The sequence below is a fragment of the Homo sapiens genome, chromosome 5, assembly GCF_000001405.40.
Source record: "Homo sapiens chromosome 5, GRCh38.p14 Primary Assembly".
Classification (NCBI taxonomy): Eukaryota; Metazoa; Chordata; class Mammalia; order Primates; family Hominidae; genus Homo; species Homo sapiens.
Genome location: NC_000005.10, coordinates 19,749,062 through 19,770,647, shown reverse-complemented (window position 1 = coordinate 19,770,647; position 21,586 = coordinate 19,749,062). Strand labels below are relative to the sequence as shown.

Genomic DNA, 21,586 nt, shown 5'->3' with positions numbered 1-21,586 from the left:
GTCTTGGTCTTCCTTTTCTTTTTTTCCTTTTTTTTTGGCATGGAAAGTTTGGATGGATTTGCAACTGAATAGTTTTCTTAGCTGGCATACTGCCATTAGAATTCTGGGGATAGAATAATCTCTTTGTTTCTGTTAAATTATATTGTCACATTAAATTAAATTTTAAATTACATTAGAAAACTATGTTAAAATTCAGGTTATAGTTACATGTGTGGGGATACATTTTTGGACTAATCTGTCCCTTTAATCTGAATGTCTATATTTTATACTAATGTAATTTTCTTGTGAGACCTGAAATCAAGTACTGTTAATCTGCTGATTATGTTTTTTTTTCAAACTGTTTGACAATTATAGGTCATTTCCATTTTCATGTATCTTTTAGAATCAGCTTGTTAATTTCTTTAAAAAGTCCCTTGTTATATTAATTGGAATTTCACATACTTTATGAGTGAATTTCAGGGAAAATATATGTGTAATATTTTGAGAAATTGACAAATGCTTATCAAAATGGCTACACCACTTTACAATCTATCTGCAATATATAATGTTTTAATTTTTCCTTACCCTTGCCACTACTTATGTCTTTTAAAAACTTTAGCTCTCCTAATGACTGTGAAGTGGCAACCCATTGTGGTTTTCATTTACATTTCTGTAATGACTAATGATGTTGATTATCTTTATTTATTGTTTACATATCTTCTTTTGAGAAGTGTGTACTCAAATTCTGCATTCCTTTTTAATTAGGCTATTTGCCTTATTGTTGAGTTGTGCTACTTATAAATTCTAGATACTAGATCCTTATCAGATATAATAATTTGTACATACTGTCTCCCACTCTGTGAGTCGTACTTTCACTTTTTTGGTAGCACATTTTGAAGCACAACAGTTTTAATGTATATAATTTATCTATATTTTTATTTGTCCATGCTTTTGACATCATAGTTACAAAACATTGCTTATTCTAATGTTGTAAAGATTTACATTTGTGTTTCATTTTAAGAGTTTTATTGTTTTATCTATTACATTTAGGCTTTTGATTTACTTCCAGTTAACTTTTGCTTATAAGGTGTTGGAATACAACTTTTCAGCCTATAGAACTGTCTTTAGTATTTCTGGAGGGCAGATCTACTAGCAAAAAATTTCTCAGTAGTTGTTTATCTAGGAACATTGTAATTTCTCCATCATTTTTAACAGCTAGTTTGCTAGATATTGAACTTTAGTTGATAGTAGTTTTCTTTCAGCATGTTGAATATATAATCCAACTCCCTCCTAGCTTCTGTGGTTTTTTATTAGAAATCAGCTGTTCAATGTCTTGCAGGTAACAAGATTCTTTTCTCTTGCTACTTTCAGGATTCTGGCTTTGTTTTGTCTTCTAGGAGTTTGATAGCAATGTATATCAATATGAATCCCTTTTAGTTTATGCTACTTGAGGTTCATTGAGCTACTGGAATGTAGATTTATGGTTTCTATCAAATAGAGAAAGTTTTGCGGCTTTATATCTTCAAGTGTTCTTTCTGTCTCCTTTTCTCTCTCTATTTCTGTGACTCCCATTATCCATATGTTCTTAGGCTTGGTGGTATCTTATATGCTGTTTATTTTTTTGTCATTCTTTTTCCTTTCTCTTTATTAGACTGAATAATCTCAATTGACCTCTTGTCAATGTTGCTGTTTCTTTCTTCTGCCTTCTTTTAAATCTGTTGTTGTGCCCTTCTAGTAAGTTTTCAATTTCCATTATTATACTTTTCTTTTTCAGATATGTTAGTTGTGTCTTATAATGTTTATTTTGTTATTGATTTTTTCTATTTTGTGAGATATTGTCTTTATACTTCTATTATAAATATTATAATGTGGCAAATCTGGAAATCAGGTTCTCCCCTCTCTATGGTGTTTGTTGTTGCTGCCATTTGTTGTTATTGTTGTTGTTAATAAGTTTTCTGCAATAGTTTTGTAAAATCTTTATTTCTGGTTGTATTTGCTTGTGGAAGTCTCAGCTTGCCTTAATTATCAGTGAGTTAATGATTTGACAGAGATTTTTAAATATCTGGAACCAATATATATATTAACATTTACTATGGGGCAGCGTTGTATATGTTGAGGTATACCTTCAACACTCAGCTGGAAAGTTTACAACTCCACCTTTGTCATACATTTCTGCTTGCAAAGACCCCAAGTTTAACTAGAAGTTAGATCTATGTTCTTTGTATGTCTTTTAAACTTTAATTACTTCTCCAGATATTTGCAAAATCTACAAATGCATGTGACTTCTAGATTTTCTGAAATATGTCAGAGCTTTGAAATTTCCTTATAAATCTCTAATTCCCTAGCTTTTCCTTTTAAGCTTTTTTAGTTATTCTATTGTTTGTTTTGTTATTCACCATTTCAGGCAGCTTTGCTATTCAAGAATTTCCTCTGATTGTTTCTGAAAAACCTCTGTGGTAAAAGCTATTTGCATTAGGTAAATTCTGAGTCAGAACAAATAACAACAAACTTGAGAGTGGGGTCTTCCGAGGAACCATCAGAGTTCACATAATTAGAATTTTAGGGGTATGTAGCTTGAAGGAACTCCAGCTCAATTCTGTTCCCTCCAGTGGCTACCAGGCTGCTGATTTTGACCTTGATTTGTGGATCTTGGTTTTCAAGGCTGCAGTGGAGGTGGAGGGAGGGGAATAGAGCAAATTAACATAACTCAAAGCTCATTGTTGAAGATATGAAGATTCAGACATTTTTCTTATATACATTTTTCTTTCTTATATACATTTCTTTCTCATATACATTTTTCTTCTATACATCCCTGGAATGCTGCAAGATTTTGGTCAATTTCCCAAGTTTGGAAACAGTTACTTATTACAATTTTTGGCAGTATTTTCATTGCTTTAATGGAAGAAATAATTTGGAGGTTGTTTTTCCACCATTTCTACTGAAGTCTCCATACAATTATATATAATATGATGATTTATAAGACTTGGTAGATGTCTACAATATTGTTTTTATTTTAATTGTGTCCCCTCTGTTTTTGTTTTCTAATGTTTCTTTCTGCTTTATCTTGGTTTATTCAAATACTTTCATTATTCTGTTTTAATTTCTCTATGACTTTTTCAGTTATGCATCACTTTATTTATTCAAATGCTAATAATATCCATTAATAAAATAATATATTGAAGTATATTTGGAGTAAATATTGTACCACTTCTCATCTGATACTTTATATTTGCTAGGCTATTTCCTTTGCTTATTTCCTTCATGACGTTTTCTACTAATTTTTCCTTTACCCTTCAAGCCTCCTTATTCGCAACTACTCTGCTTTTATGACAATATAATTACAATTACCTATCCCTTCCATTTTTTCTACGTTTGTCATACGTATTATTTGTGACCTTATAAAACCCAGCTTATAATGTTATTATTTTTGCTTTTAATAGTAGGTTGTCTGTTTAAATTGAGATTTACAAAAAAACACATTTTTTATATTGATCTCTTGACTGACTTTAGAATTCCACTGAGCCAAGTTTTCTCCTGGTATTATTTTAATATTTTTACACATTTTTGTGTTTTTTAAATTTTTGTTTACTTATTTGATATGCCTTATTGAAATTAATAATAAAATTTTCAATTATCATATTTTATTTTTAATAATATTTATTAAAAATCAGATGTGCATGGTTACTGGAGTTATGAAAATGAATGAAATTTGGCTCCTCCCCTCAATGAGAGTGAAGTTGGAAAGATGAAACCTTTAAAAGAAAAGATAGTATAATAGGGAAGTATTGAATGACAAGGCATTCTTTGGCATCAGAATGGAGTGGCAGCTTATTACAATGAGAAGTTCAGAAGCAACTTCACAGAGGATGGAAAACCACTAAAATCCGGGCAGATAAATAGAAACTATCTAGTTTGAAGGGGATTAGATGTGGATGGGTTGGCACTTTTAAAGCCAGATTATACAGTTTAGTTTGCTGAAATTCAGAGTGAATGAGCCAAATGATTCTGTGAGAAACCTAGACAGGCATCAGATCAAGATGCCTTCCTTCTGAGACTGTGGGGAAGCTCTCAAATATTTTATGCAGAAAAGGATCAAACTCCAATTTCAGAAATAACACATTGACAAGCAGGGTGAATGGACTGGATGGAGAGATGAACAGGAACAGAGGTAATGAGACCACTTACAGGATAAGTACGACAATCTAAGTAAGAAAGTATGATGTATGAATGAACCCAGTGGTAACTGTGATGGAGAGAAGGGGTGGATTTGGGAGACTTCTAAGAAGAAAGAATCACAAACACTTTGAAAGCTTATAGTGAGGAGAAATGATGAAAGAAAAATCGATATTAACCATAAAATTTCAATCTTGGGTTACTGAGAGAAGAGTAAGAAAGTGCCAGCTTCTTACTCTGATACATACAAGAGAAGATACAGAATGAGTTCAGACTCGTAAGTGAATACTTTGGACTTTACGATTGAAAAAGTTCTGGGTCGGGCACGATGGCTGACGCCTGTGATCCCAGCAATTTGGGAGACTGGGACAGGCAGATCGCCTGAGGTCAGGAGTTTGAGACCAGTCTGACCAACATGGTGAAACCCTGTCCCTACTAAATATACAAAAATAGCCGGGTGTGGTGGTGGGCACCTGTAATCCCAGCTACTCGGGAGGCTGAGGCAGGAGAATTGCTTGAACCTGGGAGGCCGAGGTTGCAGTGAGCCGAGTTCATGTCATTGCACTCCAGCCTGGGTGGCAGAGCGAGACTCTGTCTCAAAAGAAAAAAAAAAATGTTTTTTGAATAAAATTTCCATTTTTAATGAACTTAACTGTGAAAAGAATTTGTGCACAGCAGCAGACTTTGCAGGATTTTTATTTCAATGTGGAGAGTTATATGGGCTCAACCCTGGGTTGAGTAACCCCATTCTCTAGCACAGGAAAACTTTAAAAAGACACTCTTTAACTGTCTTCCTTAGTTTGCCTCAACCCACAGCTTCTCCCCATTCGTTGAATTCCCAGAGCGAGGACTCAATAGGTCAGAGTTTTGCATTTTGGTTCTTTAGTGTATTGAATTAGCTTCATTGTGTTTTTAAATTTCTCCCTCTTTATAAAATTATGTTATTCAATAACCAGAAGATGTTCTGTGACGTTAGATCAGTTTCTGTCAAATAATATGGTTTAATTCACAAGGTGGATAATTAAGAGAAAAAATGTGATGAGAAATCCCCAAACAAATAATTTTTGAATAACTTTTAGCTTTTTTATTAAAAAAAAAATAAAAAAAGAAACAGGACTATAGATTGAGATTGTCTTTTTTTCTGGGAAAATTTTCCCTCAAGGGAAAGTGAGTTTCCCTTAATGCCTTTATTGGAATATCAACTATTCTGTGGATCTCACTCTTACTTGCTCACTGAGCTAAAAACTTCTTGAGGACAATGGCCCCTGTTTGATTCACCTTAGCACATCACTTGATACATAGCGGGGATGCAGTTAATTCTTTCTTCCATTCAGTTACATTGAATTGGATTTTAGCTGAGAATACACATGAGAACATATTGATAAAGGCCAGAACTATGGCTGAATAAAGGTATAGAAATGACAGGGCTTATGTGGGAGACATGAGAGATGGTCAGGGATACAAATCCAAAAAAAATTTAAGAAAGACTTCTGTAAGCAGTCATTTGAAAAAATATTAACTGGAAATACCTAGAAAACTTGATGAAATGGCCTAGTAATTATAGCCAAATTAAGGACAGAATTTAGCAAGAATGAGCACAAGGAAAGTCAAATTCTTATGCAATGCAGAATGAGAATCAAGCAAAGCTTCGAGACTGCATGGAAATGAGATTTTACCTTGTTTTTCTGTTGACTCTTAATATACTGACAAAGAGTGGTAAAACATTCTGACTTTTTCACATAACTGGCTCAAATAAAACCCATAACCTTTTAAAAGATAATAACTATATACACACACACATATATGGTTATAAAGATATATATACATATATGTGTATGTGTGTGTGTATATATATATATATATATATATATGAAGAAATAGAATCCTACTTAATCAATTAAAACTATGAAAGATGCATAAAGGGAACTAAGTCATTAAAGCATAGTTTTCTTCTCTACCTTCCCTCAAGTGACTCATGCCTTGGTTATATTCTTCCCTAACTTTATATGTGTTTATATTAATAAATATGAATACCACATATATGGAGTTTTATTATTTATAATTTTTAGCAAAATACAACCTTACGTTGTACATTATATCGTATTTTGACACAATGTGATTTTCTCAATTACCAACAAATTATGGGTAGTTCTTCAGAGCTAACACATTTATACTATTATTTTAATAATCATTCATATTTCCTTAAGTATTTACCCTCCAGCCAGATCTTTACATTCCTTTTTGTCTCTCAAATAATCAACAATGATTATTGCTATATAAATCTCCTTGCATATATGTACTGTATTTTTTTTTTTTTTTTGAGACAGAGTCTCGCTCTGTTGCCCAGGCTGGAGTGCAGAGTACAGTGGCACGATCTTGGCTAACTGCAAGCTCCACCTCCTGGGTTCAAGCGATTTCTCCTGTCTCAGCCTCCCAAGTAGCTGGGATTACAGGCATCTGCCACCACACCCAGCTAATTTTTTTTTTTTTTTTTTTTTTTTGTATTTTTAGTAGAGACGAGGTTTCATCATGTTGGTCAGGCTGGTCTCAAATTCTTGACCTCAGGTGATCCACCCTCCTTGGCCTCCCAAAGTGTTGGGATTACAGGTGTGAGCCACTGTGCCCAGCCTCATGTGCTATATTTTTACTTCGTTCCAGGACACTAATATGCTTTTGTTTTCCATCTATTTCCTGGTTGCACTTTCTCAATATTTTTGTGGTCTCCCTGGCTTTTTAACTTTGAGGTATTACAGGCTTCTAAACTAAATTCTTCTCTTCTCACCTATTCTTATTTTAGTGTTCAGTTCATCCAATTTCGTTGCTCCAAATGCCAACTTTGTGTCAATGTTCTCTAAGTTCATAAGGCCAATAAAATGCCTCTTGTGAACTTCAGGCTGCATATACAAATGACTTCTCTATATATCTGCTGAGACCTTCAACAAAAAATATCACATTTAGCATGCCTCAAATTGAGTTCTTGATCACTTTTAAACTTCCTGTACCTGGATTCTTCCACATTTCAGTTGATTGCAACTTCAATTATGCAGTAACTATGGCCAAACACCAAACATTTGTACTTGACTTCTCATTTGTCTTATACTTCATATCTACTCTTTGAGAAGCCTTTGTTTGTGCTACTTTCAGGATATATTTCTGATTGGATAATTTCTTATTTCTTTCACAAATACCACCCTGGTCCATGCTCCCATTAACAATCTTCTATTCACTGCTATAGCATTATTTCATTTCTTGTACATTAAGTCCTAGGATACATGTGCACAACGTGCAGGTTTGTCACATATGTATACATGTGCCATGTTGGTTTGCTGCACCCATTAACTCATCATTTACATTAGGTATTTCTCCTAATGCTATCCCTCCCCCATCCCCAGACCCCATGACAGGCCCTGGTGTGTGATATTCCCTGCCTTGTGTCCAAGTGTTCTCATTGTTCAATTCTCACCTATGAGTGAGAACATGTGGTGTTTGGTTTTCTGTTCTTGCAATAGTTTGCTGAGAATGACGGTTTCCAGCTTCATCCATGTCCCTACAAAGGACAGGAACTCATCCTTTTTTATGGTTGCATAGTATTCCATGGTGTATATGTGCCACATTTTCTTAATCCAGTCTATCATTGATGGACATTTGGGTTGGTTCCAAGTCTTTGCTATTGTGAATAGTGCTGCAACAAACATACGTGTGCATGTGTCTTTATGGTAGCATGATTTATAATCCTTTGGGTGTATACCCAGTAATGGGATCACTGGGTCATGTGGTATTTCTAGTTCTACATCCTTGAGGAATCGCCACAATGTCTTCCACAGTGGTTGAACTAGTTTACACTCCCACCGACAGTGTAAAAGCATTCCTATTTCTCCACATCCTCTCCAACACCTGTTATTTCCTGACTTTTTAATGATCACCATTCTAACTGGTGTGAGTGGTATCAAAACCACTGGTGTGGTTTTGATTTGCATTTCTCTGATGGCCAGTGATGATGAGCATTATTTCATGTGTCTGTTGGCTGCATAAATGTCTTCTTTTGAAGTGTCTGTTCATACACTTTGCCCACTTTTTGATGGGGTTGTTTGATTTTTTTCTTGTAAATTTGTTTAAGTTTTTTGTAGATTATGGATATTAGCCCTTTGACAGATGAGGAGATTGCAAAAATTTTCTCCCATTCTGTAGGTTGCCTGTTCACTCTGATGGTAGTTTCTTTTGCTGTGCAGAAGCTCTTTAGTTTAATTAGATCCCATTTGTCTATTTTGTCTTTTGTTGCCATTGCTTTTGGTGTTTTAGACATGAAGTCCCTGCTCATCCCTATGTCCTGAATGGTATTGCCTAGGGTTTCTTCTAGGGTTTTTATGGTTTTAGGTCTAACATGTAAGTCTTTATTCCATCTTGAATTAATTTTTGTGTAAGGTGCAAGGAAGGGATCCAGTTTCAGCTTTCTACATATGGCTAGACAGTTTTCCCAGCACCATTTATTAAATAGGGAATCCTTTCCCCATTGCTTGTTTTTCTCAGGTTTGTCAAATATCAGATGGTTGTAGATGTGTGGTATGATTTCTGAGGGCTCTGTTCTGTTCCATTGGTCTATATCTCTGTTTTGGTACCAGTACCATGCTGTTTTGGTTACTGTAGCCTTGTAGTATAGTTTGAAGTCAGGTAGTATGATGCCTCCAGCTTTGTTCTTTTGGCTTAGGATTCTCTTGGCAATGTGGGCTCTTTTTTGGTTCCATATGAACTTTAAAGTAGTTTTTTCCAATTCTGTGAAGAAAGTCATTGGTAGCTTGATGGGGATGGCATTGAATCTATAAATTACCTTGGGCAGTATGACCATTTTCATGACATTGATTCTTCCTATCCGTGACCATGGAATGTTCTTCCATTTGTTTGTGTCCTCTTTTATTTTGTTGGGCAGTTTTTTTTTGGGTTTCTGCAGTTAGATGCCTAATATGATTAGACCCAGAAATGCTAAGGACTCTACTTCTAATAGTATGGAGAACACTGATAGTCCTTTGCAGAAACTCTTTAGAGAGTTATGCAAAATAAATGCATTTGAAACGCCTGATTTACTGCTCAGAAGAGGCAAGAAGTTTAGTGACTCTATACATAATACCTTTGACTATATGTGGAGATCCAAGGAACATAATGAAGCTGGTTGGTTACTCCTAAGTTCAGTGCACAAAGTGATGAAAGAAAATTATGAACTGAGAGATTCTATCTCCTGGCTTCAGAAGCAGATACTGAGCCTCAAATTTGCTAAGATTGCCCTGAGTGAGATTCTTATCTCCTGTAGAGAAACAGCTGAAATTGCGGAAAAACAGACATAAGCTCTTATCATGTGAGTGGCTGACCTGCAGTGAAAGATGCATGCACGACCTCGCCAGGTATCTACTGTTAAATTGAGGGCATTGACTGGAAAAGAAGGGGACCCTGAAACTTGGAATGGGGACATGTGGGAGGACCCCAATAAACCTGGGGATGCTGGGTTTGTAAACTCTGGTGAATATTTTTTGGCCAGAATGAAGAGCTTCCCCATCCCCAGTAGTGGCGACATCCACTCCCCAACCCATGCTGCTGTCAGCCTTTCTACCTTTGGCTGAGAACATAAACTCTGTGCTGCCTGAGGCAACGGCAACAGTGATGGCCTCCCCTGAGGTAGTTGCCAGGCAAGATAATGTTGATCATCCTCAGGAGCCACCCCCATCATCTCTGCTTCTAAATCTATAACTAAAGTCCCGGCAGGCCACTAGAGGTGAGGTTGAGATTGTGACACATGAGGACATGCACCACACTTGAAAAGAACTGTTTGAGTTCTCTAATTTATGTAAACAGAAATCTGGAGGACAGGCATGGGGATGGATATTAAGGGTGTGGGATAATGGTGGAAGGAACACAGAGTCGGATCAGGCTGAATTTATTGATCTGGGCTCACTAAGTAGGAACTCTGCTTTTAATGTTCAACTCTGGGCATTGTAAAAGTCTCTAATGCTTTATTTGCATTGTTAGCCAAAATATGGATTAAAAGATGGGCCACCGTGAGCAAGCTGGAAATGCCTGATCTTTCCTGGTTGTAGAGGAAGAGATCCAAAGGGCTAGGGAAATCGGGATCGTGGAGTGGATTAGTCACTTTAGACCTACTCATCCCAGCTGGGAGAGTCCAGAAGATATACCCTTGACCAAAGCCTTGTGAAATAGATTTTTGACGGCAGCACCTGCATCTTTAAAGAGCCCTGCAATTGCTCTTCTCTGTGTATCAGATCTAATGGTGGGAACTGCAGTTATTCAACTATAAAATTTAAATACAATGGGAATAATTTGATCCCAAGGTGGCAGGAGCCAAGTGGCAGCATTCATCTGTCAAAGGCAAGGTGGGTGTAGCTACCATAATGGACAGCAGACGCAAAGTGGCAATCAGAATAGTGTGACTCGCGTAGAGCTCTGGCATTGGCTAATTAATCACTGTGTCCCTAGAAGTGAAATTGATAGGAAGCCTACTGCATTCCTATTTAATTTATACAAGCAGAAAACTTCTAGGTTAAATGGACAAAATACTAATTTGAATTATAAAAATAGAATCATGGCCCCTCAATTCATTTCCAGACTTGAGCCAGTTTACAGACCCAGAACCCCTGGAGTGAAGGAGAGGCGAGGTCCCCTTGAAGAACGGTACCCCTAATGTAGGGCCCCCACTACATTTCCGACAATTTATGGAGTGAATATTTTTCCCCTCCTTCCCCAAGGAGGCCTCCAGCCTTTTATCAGGTTAACCATGCATTGGGGAAAGGAAAATGATCAGACATTTCAGGGACTACTGGACACTGGCTCTGAGCTGACGTTGATTCCAAGGGACACAAGACATCATTGTGGTCCTCCAGTTAAAGTAGGGGATTATGGGGGTCAGGTAATTAATGGAGTTTTAGCTCTGGTCTGACTTACAGTGGGCCCAGTGGGTCCCTGGACTCGGCCTGTGGTAATTTCCCCAGTGCCAGAATGCATAATTGGCATAGACATACTTAGTAGCTGGCAGAACCCCCACATTACCTCCCTGACTGGTAGGTTGAGGGGTATTATGGTGGGAAAGGCCAAATGGAAGCCTTTAGAGCTGCCTCTACCTATAAAAATAGTAAATCGAAGAAAATATTGCATCCCTGGAGGGATTGCAGACATTAGTGCCACCATCAAGGAGTTGAAAGATGCAAGGGTGGTGATTCCCACCACATCCCCATTCAACTCTTCCATTTGGCCTGTGCAGAAAACAGGTGGATCTTGGAGAATGAGAGTGGATTATTATAAGCTTAACCAAGCAGTGACTCCAATTGCAGCTGCTGTACCAGATGTGGTTTCATTGCTTGAGCAAATTAAAACATTTCCTGGTAACTGATATGCAACCATTGACTTGGCAAATGCCTTTTTCTCCATTCCTATCCATAAGGCCCACCAGAAGCAATTTGCCTTCAGCTGGCAAGGCCAGCAATATACCTTTGCTGTCCTACCTCAGAGGTATATCAACTCTCTGGTTTTGTGTCATAATCTTATTCAGAGAGACTTTGATCGCTTTTCGCTTCTGCAAGATATCACACTGGTCCATTACATTGGTGACATTGTGCTGATCAGATCCAGTGAGCAAGAAAGAGCAAACACAGTGGACTTATTGGTGAGACATTTGCGTGCCAGAGGATGGGGAATAAATCCAACTACAATTCAAGGACCTTCTACTTCAGTAAAATTTCTAGGGTTCCAGTGGTGTGGGGCCTGTCAAGATATCCCTTCTAAGGTGAAGGATAAATTGCTGCATTTGGCACCTCCTACAATGAAGAAAGAGGCGCAATGCTTAGTGGGGCTATTTAGGTTTTGGAGGCAACACATTCCTCGTTTAGTGTGTTACTCTGGCCCATTTATTGGGTGACCCGAAAGTCTGCCAATTATGAGTGGGATACAGAACAGGAGAAGGCTCTGCAACAGATCCAGGCTTCTGTGCAAGCTGCTCTGCCACTTAAGCCACATGACCCAGTAGATCCAACGGTGCTTGAGGTGTCAGTGGCAGACAGGGATGTTGTTTGGAGCCTTTTGCAGGCCACCATAGGTGAATCACAGTGGAGGCCTCTATGATTTTGGAGCAATGCCCTGCCATCTTCTGCATATAATTACTGTCCTTTTGAGAGGCAGCTCTTGGCCTGTTACTGGACTTTGGTGGAAACTGAACATTTGACTACATGTCACCAAGTCACCATGCGACCTGTACTGCCTATCATTAACTGGTTGCTTTCTGACCCATCTAGCCATAAAGTGGGTCATACACAGCAGCGTTCTATCATCAAATAGAAGTGGTTATATATATGATCAGGCTCTAGCAGGTCCTGAAGGTACAAGTAAGTTACATGAGAAAGTGGCTCAAATGCCCATGGTCTCCACTCCTGCCACCCTGCCTTCTCTTCCCCAGTCTGCACTGAAGGCCTCATGGGAGGTTCCCTATGATCAGTTGACAGAGGAAGAGAAGACTCGAGCCTGGTTCACAGATGGTTCTGCACGATATTCAGGCACCACCCAAAAGTGGACAGCTGCACCACTACAGCCCCTTTTAAGGACATCCCTGAAGGACAACGGTGAAGGGAAATCTTCCCAATGGGCAGAACTTCAAACAGTGCACGTGGTTGTGCACTTTGCATGGAAGGAGTAATGGCCAGATGTGTGATTATCTACTGATTCCTGGGCTGTAGCCTATGGTTTGTCTGGATGGCCAGGGACTTGGAAGAAGCATGATCGGAAAATTGGTGACAAAGAAATTTGGGGAAGAGTTATGTGGGTGGACCTCTCTGAGTGGTCAAAAACTGAAGACATTTGTACTCCATGAGAGTGCTCACCAATAGGTGAGCTCAACTGAGGAGGATTTTAATAATCAAGTGGATAGAATGACCTGATCTGTGGATACCACTCAGCCGCTTTCCCCAGCCACCCCTGACATAGCCAAATGGGTCCATGAACAAAGTGGCCATGTTGGCAGGGATGGAGGTTACACATGGGCTCAGCAACATGGACGTCCACTCACCAAGGCTGACCTGGCTACAGCCACTGCTGAGTGCCCAGTTTGCCAGCAGCAGAGACCAACACTGAGCCCTCAATATGGCACCATTCCTCGGGGAGATCAGCCAGCTACCTGATGACAGGTTGATTATATTGAACCTCCTCCATCATGGAAAGGTCAGAGGTTGGTCTTCACTGGAATAGACACTTACTCTGCATATGGGTTTGCCTATCGTGCACACAATGCTTTTGCCAAGACTACCATCCATGGACTCATGGAATGCCTTATCCACCCTCATGGTATTCCACACAGCATTGCCTCTAACTAAGGCACTCACTTTACAACAAAAAAGTGTGGCAGTGGGCTTATCCTCATGGAATTAACTGGTCTTACCATGTTTCCCATCATCCTGAAGTAGCTGGATTGATAGAATGGTGGAATGGCCTTTTGAAGTCACAATTACAACACCAACTAGGTAACAATACTTTGCAGGGCTGAGGCAAAGTTATCCAGAAGGCTGGGTATGCTCTGAATCAGCATCCGCTATATTGTACTGTTTCTCCCATAGCGAAGATTCATGGATCCGGGAATCAAGGAATAGAAGCATAAGTGGCAACACACACCATCTCCCCTAGTGATCCACTAGCAAAATATTTGCTTCCTGTTACTGTGATATTACATTCTGCTGGCCTAGAGGCCTTAGTTCCAGAGGGAGGAATACTGACACCAGGAGACATAGCAACAATTCCATTGAACTATAAGTTAAGACTGCCACTTTAGGCTTCTCCTACCTTTAAGCCAACAAGCTAAGGAGGGAGTTACAGTGTTGGCTGGGGTGATTGACCCAGACTATCAAGATGAAATCAGTCCACTACTCCACAACAGAGGTAAAGAACAGTATGCATGGGATACAGGAGATCCATTTGGGCGTCTCTTAGTATTATCATTCCCTGTGATTAAGGTTAATGGAAACTACAACAGCCCCTCTCAGGAGTAAAGGTTTGGGTCACTCCACCAGGAAAATATCATGACCTGCTGAGGTCCTTGCTGAAGGCAAAGAAATACAGAATAGGTAGTAGAAGAAAGTAGTCATCAATACCAGCTACGACCACGTGACCATCTGCAGCAATGGGGACTGTAATTGTCATGAGTATTTCCTCCTTCTTTTGCTAAAAATATTTGTACATGTATACACTTGTATGAAGAAAATATCTTTATTTTATTTCCTTTATCATATGACATAAGATTTATTGACTTCGTATCAGCACTTAAATATTGTTAACTTTATGTGATAGTGTTTGGGTTGGGGGTTGGTGTGTTTCCAGTTGTACAGAGGACAGTTGTATTACGTTAGGTGTAATTATGACCTTATTATTGTCTTTATTTGAAGATTATGCATGATCTCAGGAGATGTGTGTGGGTTCAACTTGACAAGGGGTGTACTTGTGATGGTTAACACTGAGTGTCAACTTGATTGGATTGAAGGATACAAAGTATTGACCCTGGATGTGTCTTTGAGGGTGTTGCCAAAAGAGATTAACCTTTGAATCAGTAGGCTGGGGAAGGCAGATCCACCCTTAATCTGGTGGACACTGTCTAAATAGCTGTCAGCAAATACAAAGCAGGCAGAAAAACGTGAAAAGGGGAGACTGGCCTAGTCTCCCAGTCGACATCTTTCTCCCTTGCTGGATGCTTCCTGCCCTCAAACATTGGACTCCAAGTTCTTCAGTTTTGGGACTTGGACTGGCTCTCCTTGCTCCTCAGCTTGCAGAAAGCTTATTGTGTGATGTTGTGATCATGTGAGTTAATACTTAATAAACTCCCCTTTATATTTATATAGGAGATATATGTATATGTCTTATATTATATATATCTTATATTATATATATCCTATATTTTATTATATATAAAATATATATATAAAATATAAAACTAACAGGGCATATATATATATGTGTGTGTGTATATATATGTGTATATATCTATGTATGTGTGTGTGTGTGTGTATATATATATATATATATATATATATACATACCCTGTTAGTTCTGTCCCTCTAGAGAACACTGACTAATACAATAGCATTGAATGAACTTTTGTGTTTCTCTGGTGTCAGTTGTAATATCTCCCATTTCATTTCTTACCGAGGTTATTTGGATTTTCTCTCTTCTTTTCTTGGTTAATCTTGCTAATGGTCAATCAATTTTATTTATTTCTTCGAAGAACCAGCTTTTTATTTCTTTTTTTTATTTTTTTATTTTTTGTATTTTTTTTGTTTGTTTTTATTTCATTTAGTTCTGCTATGATCTTGGTTATTTCCTTTCTTCTGCTGGGTTTGGGTTTGGTTTGTTCTTGTTCCTCTAGTTCCTTAAGGCATGACCTTAGATTGTCAGTTTGTGCTCTTTCAGTCTTTTTGATGTAGGCATTTAGGGCTATGAAATTTCCTCTTAGCACCACCTTTGCTGTATCCCAGAGGTTTTGATAGGTTCTGTCATTATCGTTGTTCAGTTTGAAGAATTTTTCAATTTCCATCCTTTTGTTTTTGACCCAGGGCTGATTCAGGAGCAGGTTATTTAATTTCCATGTATTTGCATGGGTTCAAAGGTTCCTTTTGAAGTTGATTTCCAGTTTTATTCCACTGTGGTCTGAGAGAGTGCTTGATATAACTTCAATTTTCTTAAATTTATTGAGGCTCATTTTGTGGCCTATCATATGGTCTATCTTGGAGAAAGTTCCATGTGCTATTGAATAGAATGTGTATATTGCAGCCGTTGGATGGAATGTTCTGCATTTATCTGTTAAGTCCATTTGTTCCAAGGTATAGTTTAAATCCAGTTTCCTTGTTGGCTTTCTGTCTTGATGACCTGTCTAGTGCTGTCTGTGGGATATTGAAATCCCCCACTATTCTTGTGTTACTGTCTGTCTCATTTCTTAGGTCTAGTAGTAATTGTTTCATAAATTTGGGATCTCCAGTGTTAGGTACATATATGTTTAAGATTGTGATATTTTCCTGTTGGACAAGGCCTTTTATCATTATATAATGTCCCTCTTTGCCCTTTTTAACTGCTGTTGTTTTAAAGTTTGTCTTTTTCTGATATAAGAATAGCTACTCCTGCTTCCTTTTGGTGTCCATTTGCATGAAATGTCTTTTTTTCACCACTTTACTTAAAGTTTATGTGAGTCTTTATGTGTTAGGTGAGTCTCTTGAAGGCAACAGATACTTGGTTGGTGAATTCTTATCCATTCTGCAGTTCTGTATCTTTTAAGTGGAGCATTTAGGCAATTTACATTCAATGTTAATGTTGAGATGTGAGGTACCATTCCATTCATAATGTTGCCTGTGTATCTTGGTTTTTTGGGGGTTTTTTTGTTTGTTTGTTTTGTTTTTGGTTTTTAAGTTCTATTTTGTTTTATAGGTCCTGTGAGATTTATGCTTAAAAAGGTTCCGTTTTGATGCGTTTCAAGGATTTGTTTCAAGATTTAGAGCTCCTTTTAGCAGTTCTTGTAGTGGTGGCTTGGTAGTGACAAATTCTCTCAGCATTTGTTTTTCTGAAAAAAACTGTATCTTTCTTTCATATATGATGCTTAGTTTCACTGGATACAAAATTCTTGGCTGATAGTTGTTTTGTTTGAGGAAGCTGAAGATACAGCCCCAATTCCTTCGAGCTTGTATGGTTTCTGCTGAGAAATCTGCTGTCAATCTGATAGGTTTTCCTTTGTAGGATACCTGGAGCTTTTGTCTCACAGCACTTAAGATTCTTTCCTTTGTCGTAACTTTAGATGACCTATGCATTGGCATAACACATAGCAATGTGTCTAGGTCTCTAGCAAGGCCAGGGAATATTTCCTCAATTTTTTCCCCCAGATATGTTTTCCAAACTTTTAGATTTCTCTTCTTCTTGAAGAACACTGATTATTCTTAGGTTTGGTCATTTAATATAATCCCAGACTACTCTGAGGCTTTGTTCATATTTTCTTATTCTTTCTTCTGTCTTTGTTGGATTGGGTTAATTTGAAGAACTTGTCTGAATTTCTTTCTTCTACTTGTTGAATTTTATTGCTAAGACTTTCCAGAAAATTTTGCATTTCTATCTGTGTCCAATGTTTCCTGAAGTTTTTATTGTTTTTGTTTATGCAATCTATTTCATTGACTATTTCTCCCTTCACTTCTTGCATCTTTTTTTATTGTTATTTATTTCCTTGCATTGGGCTTACCTTTATTTGGGGCCTCCATGATTAGATTAATAACTAACCTCCTGAATTCCTTTTCAGGCAAATCAGGGATTTCTTCTTGGTTTGCATCCATTGCTGGTAAGCTAGTAGGATTTTTGGGGGTGTTAAAGAGCCCTGTTCTGTCATATTACCAGAGTTGGTTTTCTGGTTCCTTCTCATTTGGGTAGGTTATGTCAGAGGGAAGGTCTAGGGCTGAAGGCTGTGGTTAGATTCTTTTTTCACATGGGGTGTTTCCTTCACATAGTGTCCTCCCCCTTTTCCTATGGATGTGGCTTCCTGAGAGCCAAGGTATAGTGATTGCTGCCTCTCTTCTGGGTCTAGCCACCCAAAAAGTCTACCAGGCTCTGGGCTAATACTGGGTGTTGTCTGTACAAAGTCCTGTGATGTGAACCGTCTGTGGGTCTCTCAGCCATGAATACCAGCACCTGTTCTGGTGGAGGTGGCAGGAAGGTGAAATGGACACTGTGAGTGTTCTTAACTTTGGTGGTTTAATGCTCTTTTTTGTGTGCTGGTTGGCCTTCTGCCAGGAGGTGGTGCTTTCCAGAGAGCATCAGCTGTGTTAGTATGGAGAGGAACCCATGGCAGGTGGGGCCCTAGAACTCCCAAAAGTATATGCCCTTTGTCTTCAGTTACCAGGATGGGTAGGGAAGTACCATTGGGTGGGGGCAGGGCCAGGCGTGTCTGAACTCAGACTTTTCTTGGGTGGGTCTTGCTGCCACTGCTGTGGGGGATGAGGGCAAGATTTCCAGGTCAATGGAGTTATGTACCTAGGAAGATAATGGCTGCCTCTGCTGAGTTCTGCAGGTTGTCAAGGAAGTGGGGGAGAGCCGGGAGTCACAGGCTTCTCCCAGCTCCCACACAATCCAAAGGGCTGGTCTCACTCCTACCATGGCCCCATCATAGCATCTAGTCTGTTTCCAGGCAATGGGCAAGCAGGGCTGAGGACTTACCGCCGGCTAACCCGCTTCCCAGTTGCAAAAGAAAGTAGGGCTTTAGTGCTTCCACTGTCTGTGGAGTCTACACACAGGATTTGCATCCTCCCCTGAGTCCAAGCAGGAATGGACACTGCTTCCTCTACCCCTGTATTTTGCTTGGCTTTCTAAATTCACACTGCTCCAGGTAAGATCAGAATATTCTCCTATAAACTAGACCTTCAGTTTCCCCAGTGGGGGTGTGTATTCAAGGGCAACGGATCTCCCTTTCCCTGTTTCACAGCCTGGGCACTTACAATATTTGGGGCATCTTGGGGGCCCTGCAGGAGCAATCTGCTTCCTTCAGAGGGTCTGCGAGTACTCTCAGGATTCCTGCTATTCCTGCAGTCATTCTGGGGCAAAATTAACAATGTGAGCCTCCACATCCTGCTCTGTCTGTCTGAGTTATAGCTGCAATCCAGTCCTGACTCCCATCCACCTTGATGGATTAAATTTTTAAAAATAAAACTTTATTTAACTCTTTAACATAACCTTTTATACATTTATTGGTGTGTAATTAAAAATTATGGTTAATACATGTCCCTTTTTCACAGAGACTAATATATTATCAGTTAGCAAGAGACTGTTACTGCTTAATGTGTTTTATTTCACATCAGTTACTTATTAACAGTTGGATTGATTTTTGTTTCATTTGCCTATACTTTAAGAATGTAATACATTCTGGAATGAAGGATACATAATACTCCTCAGTGACATGTATTCCCCATGTTTTCACATTTCTTTCACATTGTGTCACATATTTTTGTGCAAGTTTTGGAGATAATGATCAATCATAGTGGAATTACTATATTTCTGCCTTTATTTTTGGCTTCCACTGAAATATTATAAATATGTTTTCTACTTATAAACAAGTATATAAATTATGTATCCCAAAATATTACAGTTTTAAGTCAATGACCTATCTTTTTAACATAATTAAACTGAACTTTGTAAATGAATAGCTCCACCAACATCTTCTTAACTTTTTAAAGTTATTCTTCCCCAAGGAATAGAATATTATTTTATTGATGAACTTTGCATTAGAGTGAAAGCTATAAATTTTCAGGTCCTGATCCTAATGTAGTCCAGGGTGAATAAATAGTTTTCTAGAGTGAACTCATGTGAGTCACGCTGGCTTTCTAAGTGCCATAGGTTACTACTTAATGCTAAGAAAGTGACAATTTATTAAAGTAATGCTAGAGATTACTAGCATTTTGCTTCACTAGGGTGACTGCATTTTCTTTTTACTTTTTTCACCCCTCATTCCTTTGCCGTTCTCTAAAGAGCAGTTAATTTAGCCTACTTTGTTATGTGATGAGATACCCAAAGACTATCTCTTCTTGCTTTAGGACAATATAATGTCTATCTTTCAGCATGAAAATACAGCCTGCTTTGCAAAATCCCATGGCTCTAAGAGTATATATGAGGTGTTACATTCAGACCCTGCTACAATGCCCTTGGTATGACTAAACTGATTTAAAAAAAGTGGGGGGGGGGGGGCTTCACTGTATATGACTAAAATCTAATTTATCTTCCAAATATTTTTACTTATTTCACTGTAAAAAAAAATCATGGGCATCTCTCTTAGTAGTATAGTGGTTAGCTAAGCTTGTAACCTACATTTAACTGGTTACTGAGTCACTACCATGTCTATATATGGAGTATTTCTAATTTCCATGCTCTTTTCCAATCTCTTTCATTTGATGTCTCACTGGTGACCCCACTCAGAGATGACATATTTCTATCATCATAATATTCCTAACTGATTATCTCTATTCAAGAGCTTTTTCTCCATTTGTCAAGTTTTCTGTGTCTGCAACTACCCTTATTATTCACCTATTTCATTCATTCATCATTTTTTGGCTTACAAAAATTAATAAAATACTTCTCTAGAGTCTTAAAACCCTTTTATTAAAAAATTCAAGACAAAATACTCAAGGTTTCTCTCAGGCCCCATTCCTGTTGCAAAGTGTATATTGCAAACAGAACTGAGATTTGAGAATAGATTTGGTGGAGGAGAGGGAATCTTGAGAGTAAACCACTTTGCTATTTCACAGTGGTTATCATCATAATCATATAAACTATTAGTCAGTCTACTAAATAACTACTACAATGGTTTCCCGTTAGTGTTACATGGGAATCTGCTTATTTCAAGATTTAACCAAGCTGGCCAAGAAACTAAAATTTCATTAATAAAATGATCATCTACGTTATTTAAAAACTCATGCTAAATATTCTTAGAAAGCAATGTAATCGAAATACATTTTCATGATATTTTTGTGTAAGTTTCATAATATTTGGTGTAAGGTTATCCAAAAATATAAATATTACTGAATTATAATTTACTAATCTTATTACAATCTAGGTTCAAATTAGTCATATCTTCAGAAGCATTTATGCTGTTAACTAGGTATTATAAAAACTGTTTATTAATTATAAAAAGTATATATATGAATTATAATAATGTTATACATGTGGAGTCAGATTCAAGTCTTAAAATTGATAGCCCTAAAATTACTGAAATTTTTATTTTTATATCTGAATTACTAGAATCTATATAGTGTATAGTATATATATTTAATAGATGCTTAATAGATGCTGTAGGTTAAGAACTTTACTATTTCTCTTATACACTTAAGCCTATTCTTCTTTAAATATCCTTAAGTATCTGTAATAAGAACCTAACTGTACACTTAGTATAATTTTATATTGCTACATTTTGTTAGTAATAAAAAAACTAAGTGACATCAAATTAATTTCACTAAACATATTTTTCATGTATATATATATGTATACACACATATACATATCCTGAAGATGAATGCCAATTTTCATCATTGTTAAACTTTTAGAAATTGTTAAAAGACATAACACATTCTGCAAAAATGTTTTATACAGTTATAAGTACAATATATAGATTTATAATTTATATATAATATAACAACATAATAATTACCAAACTATCTCACCTTTTGTTAGTTTAATGACAAGTATTCTAGAAAAGGTTTTAGAAACATTTGGTAAATGAATTTGTTGATTTACTTTGCTACATTTTGGTCATGGATTGACGCGAAGTTAGAGAATATGAAATAGGTTTCTCTATTGACACTTTGCGGGTGTCTGCTTCATGAAAGATGAATCTTTTCTTCTAGATACTAAAATGATATACTAAGAGACATAAATAAATAAACACATTTTC

General features: G+C 37.5%; 1 protein-coding gene across 20 annotated transcripts in view; it reads left to right on the top strand.

The window, feature by feature from the left end:
* CDH18 (cadherin 18) overlaps positions 1 to 21,586 on the top strand; it is a 1,104,418-nt gene that overhangs the window by 805,066 nt on the left and 277,766 nt on the right. The gene's annotated exons all lie outside the window — the stretch shown is intronic.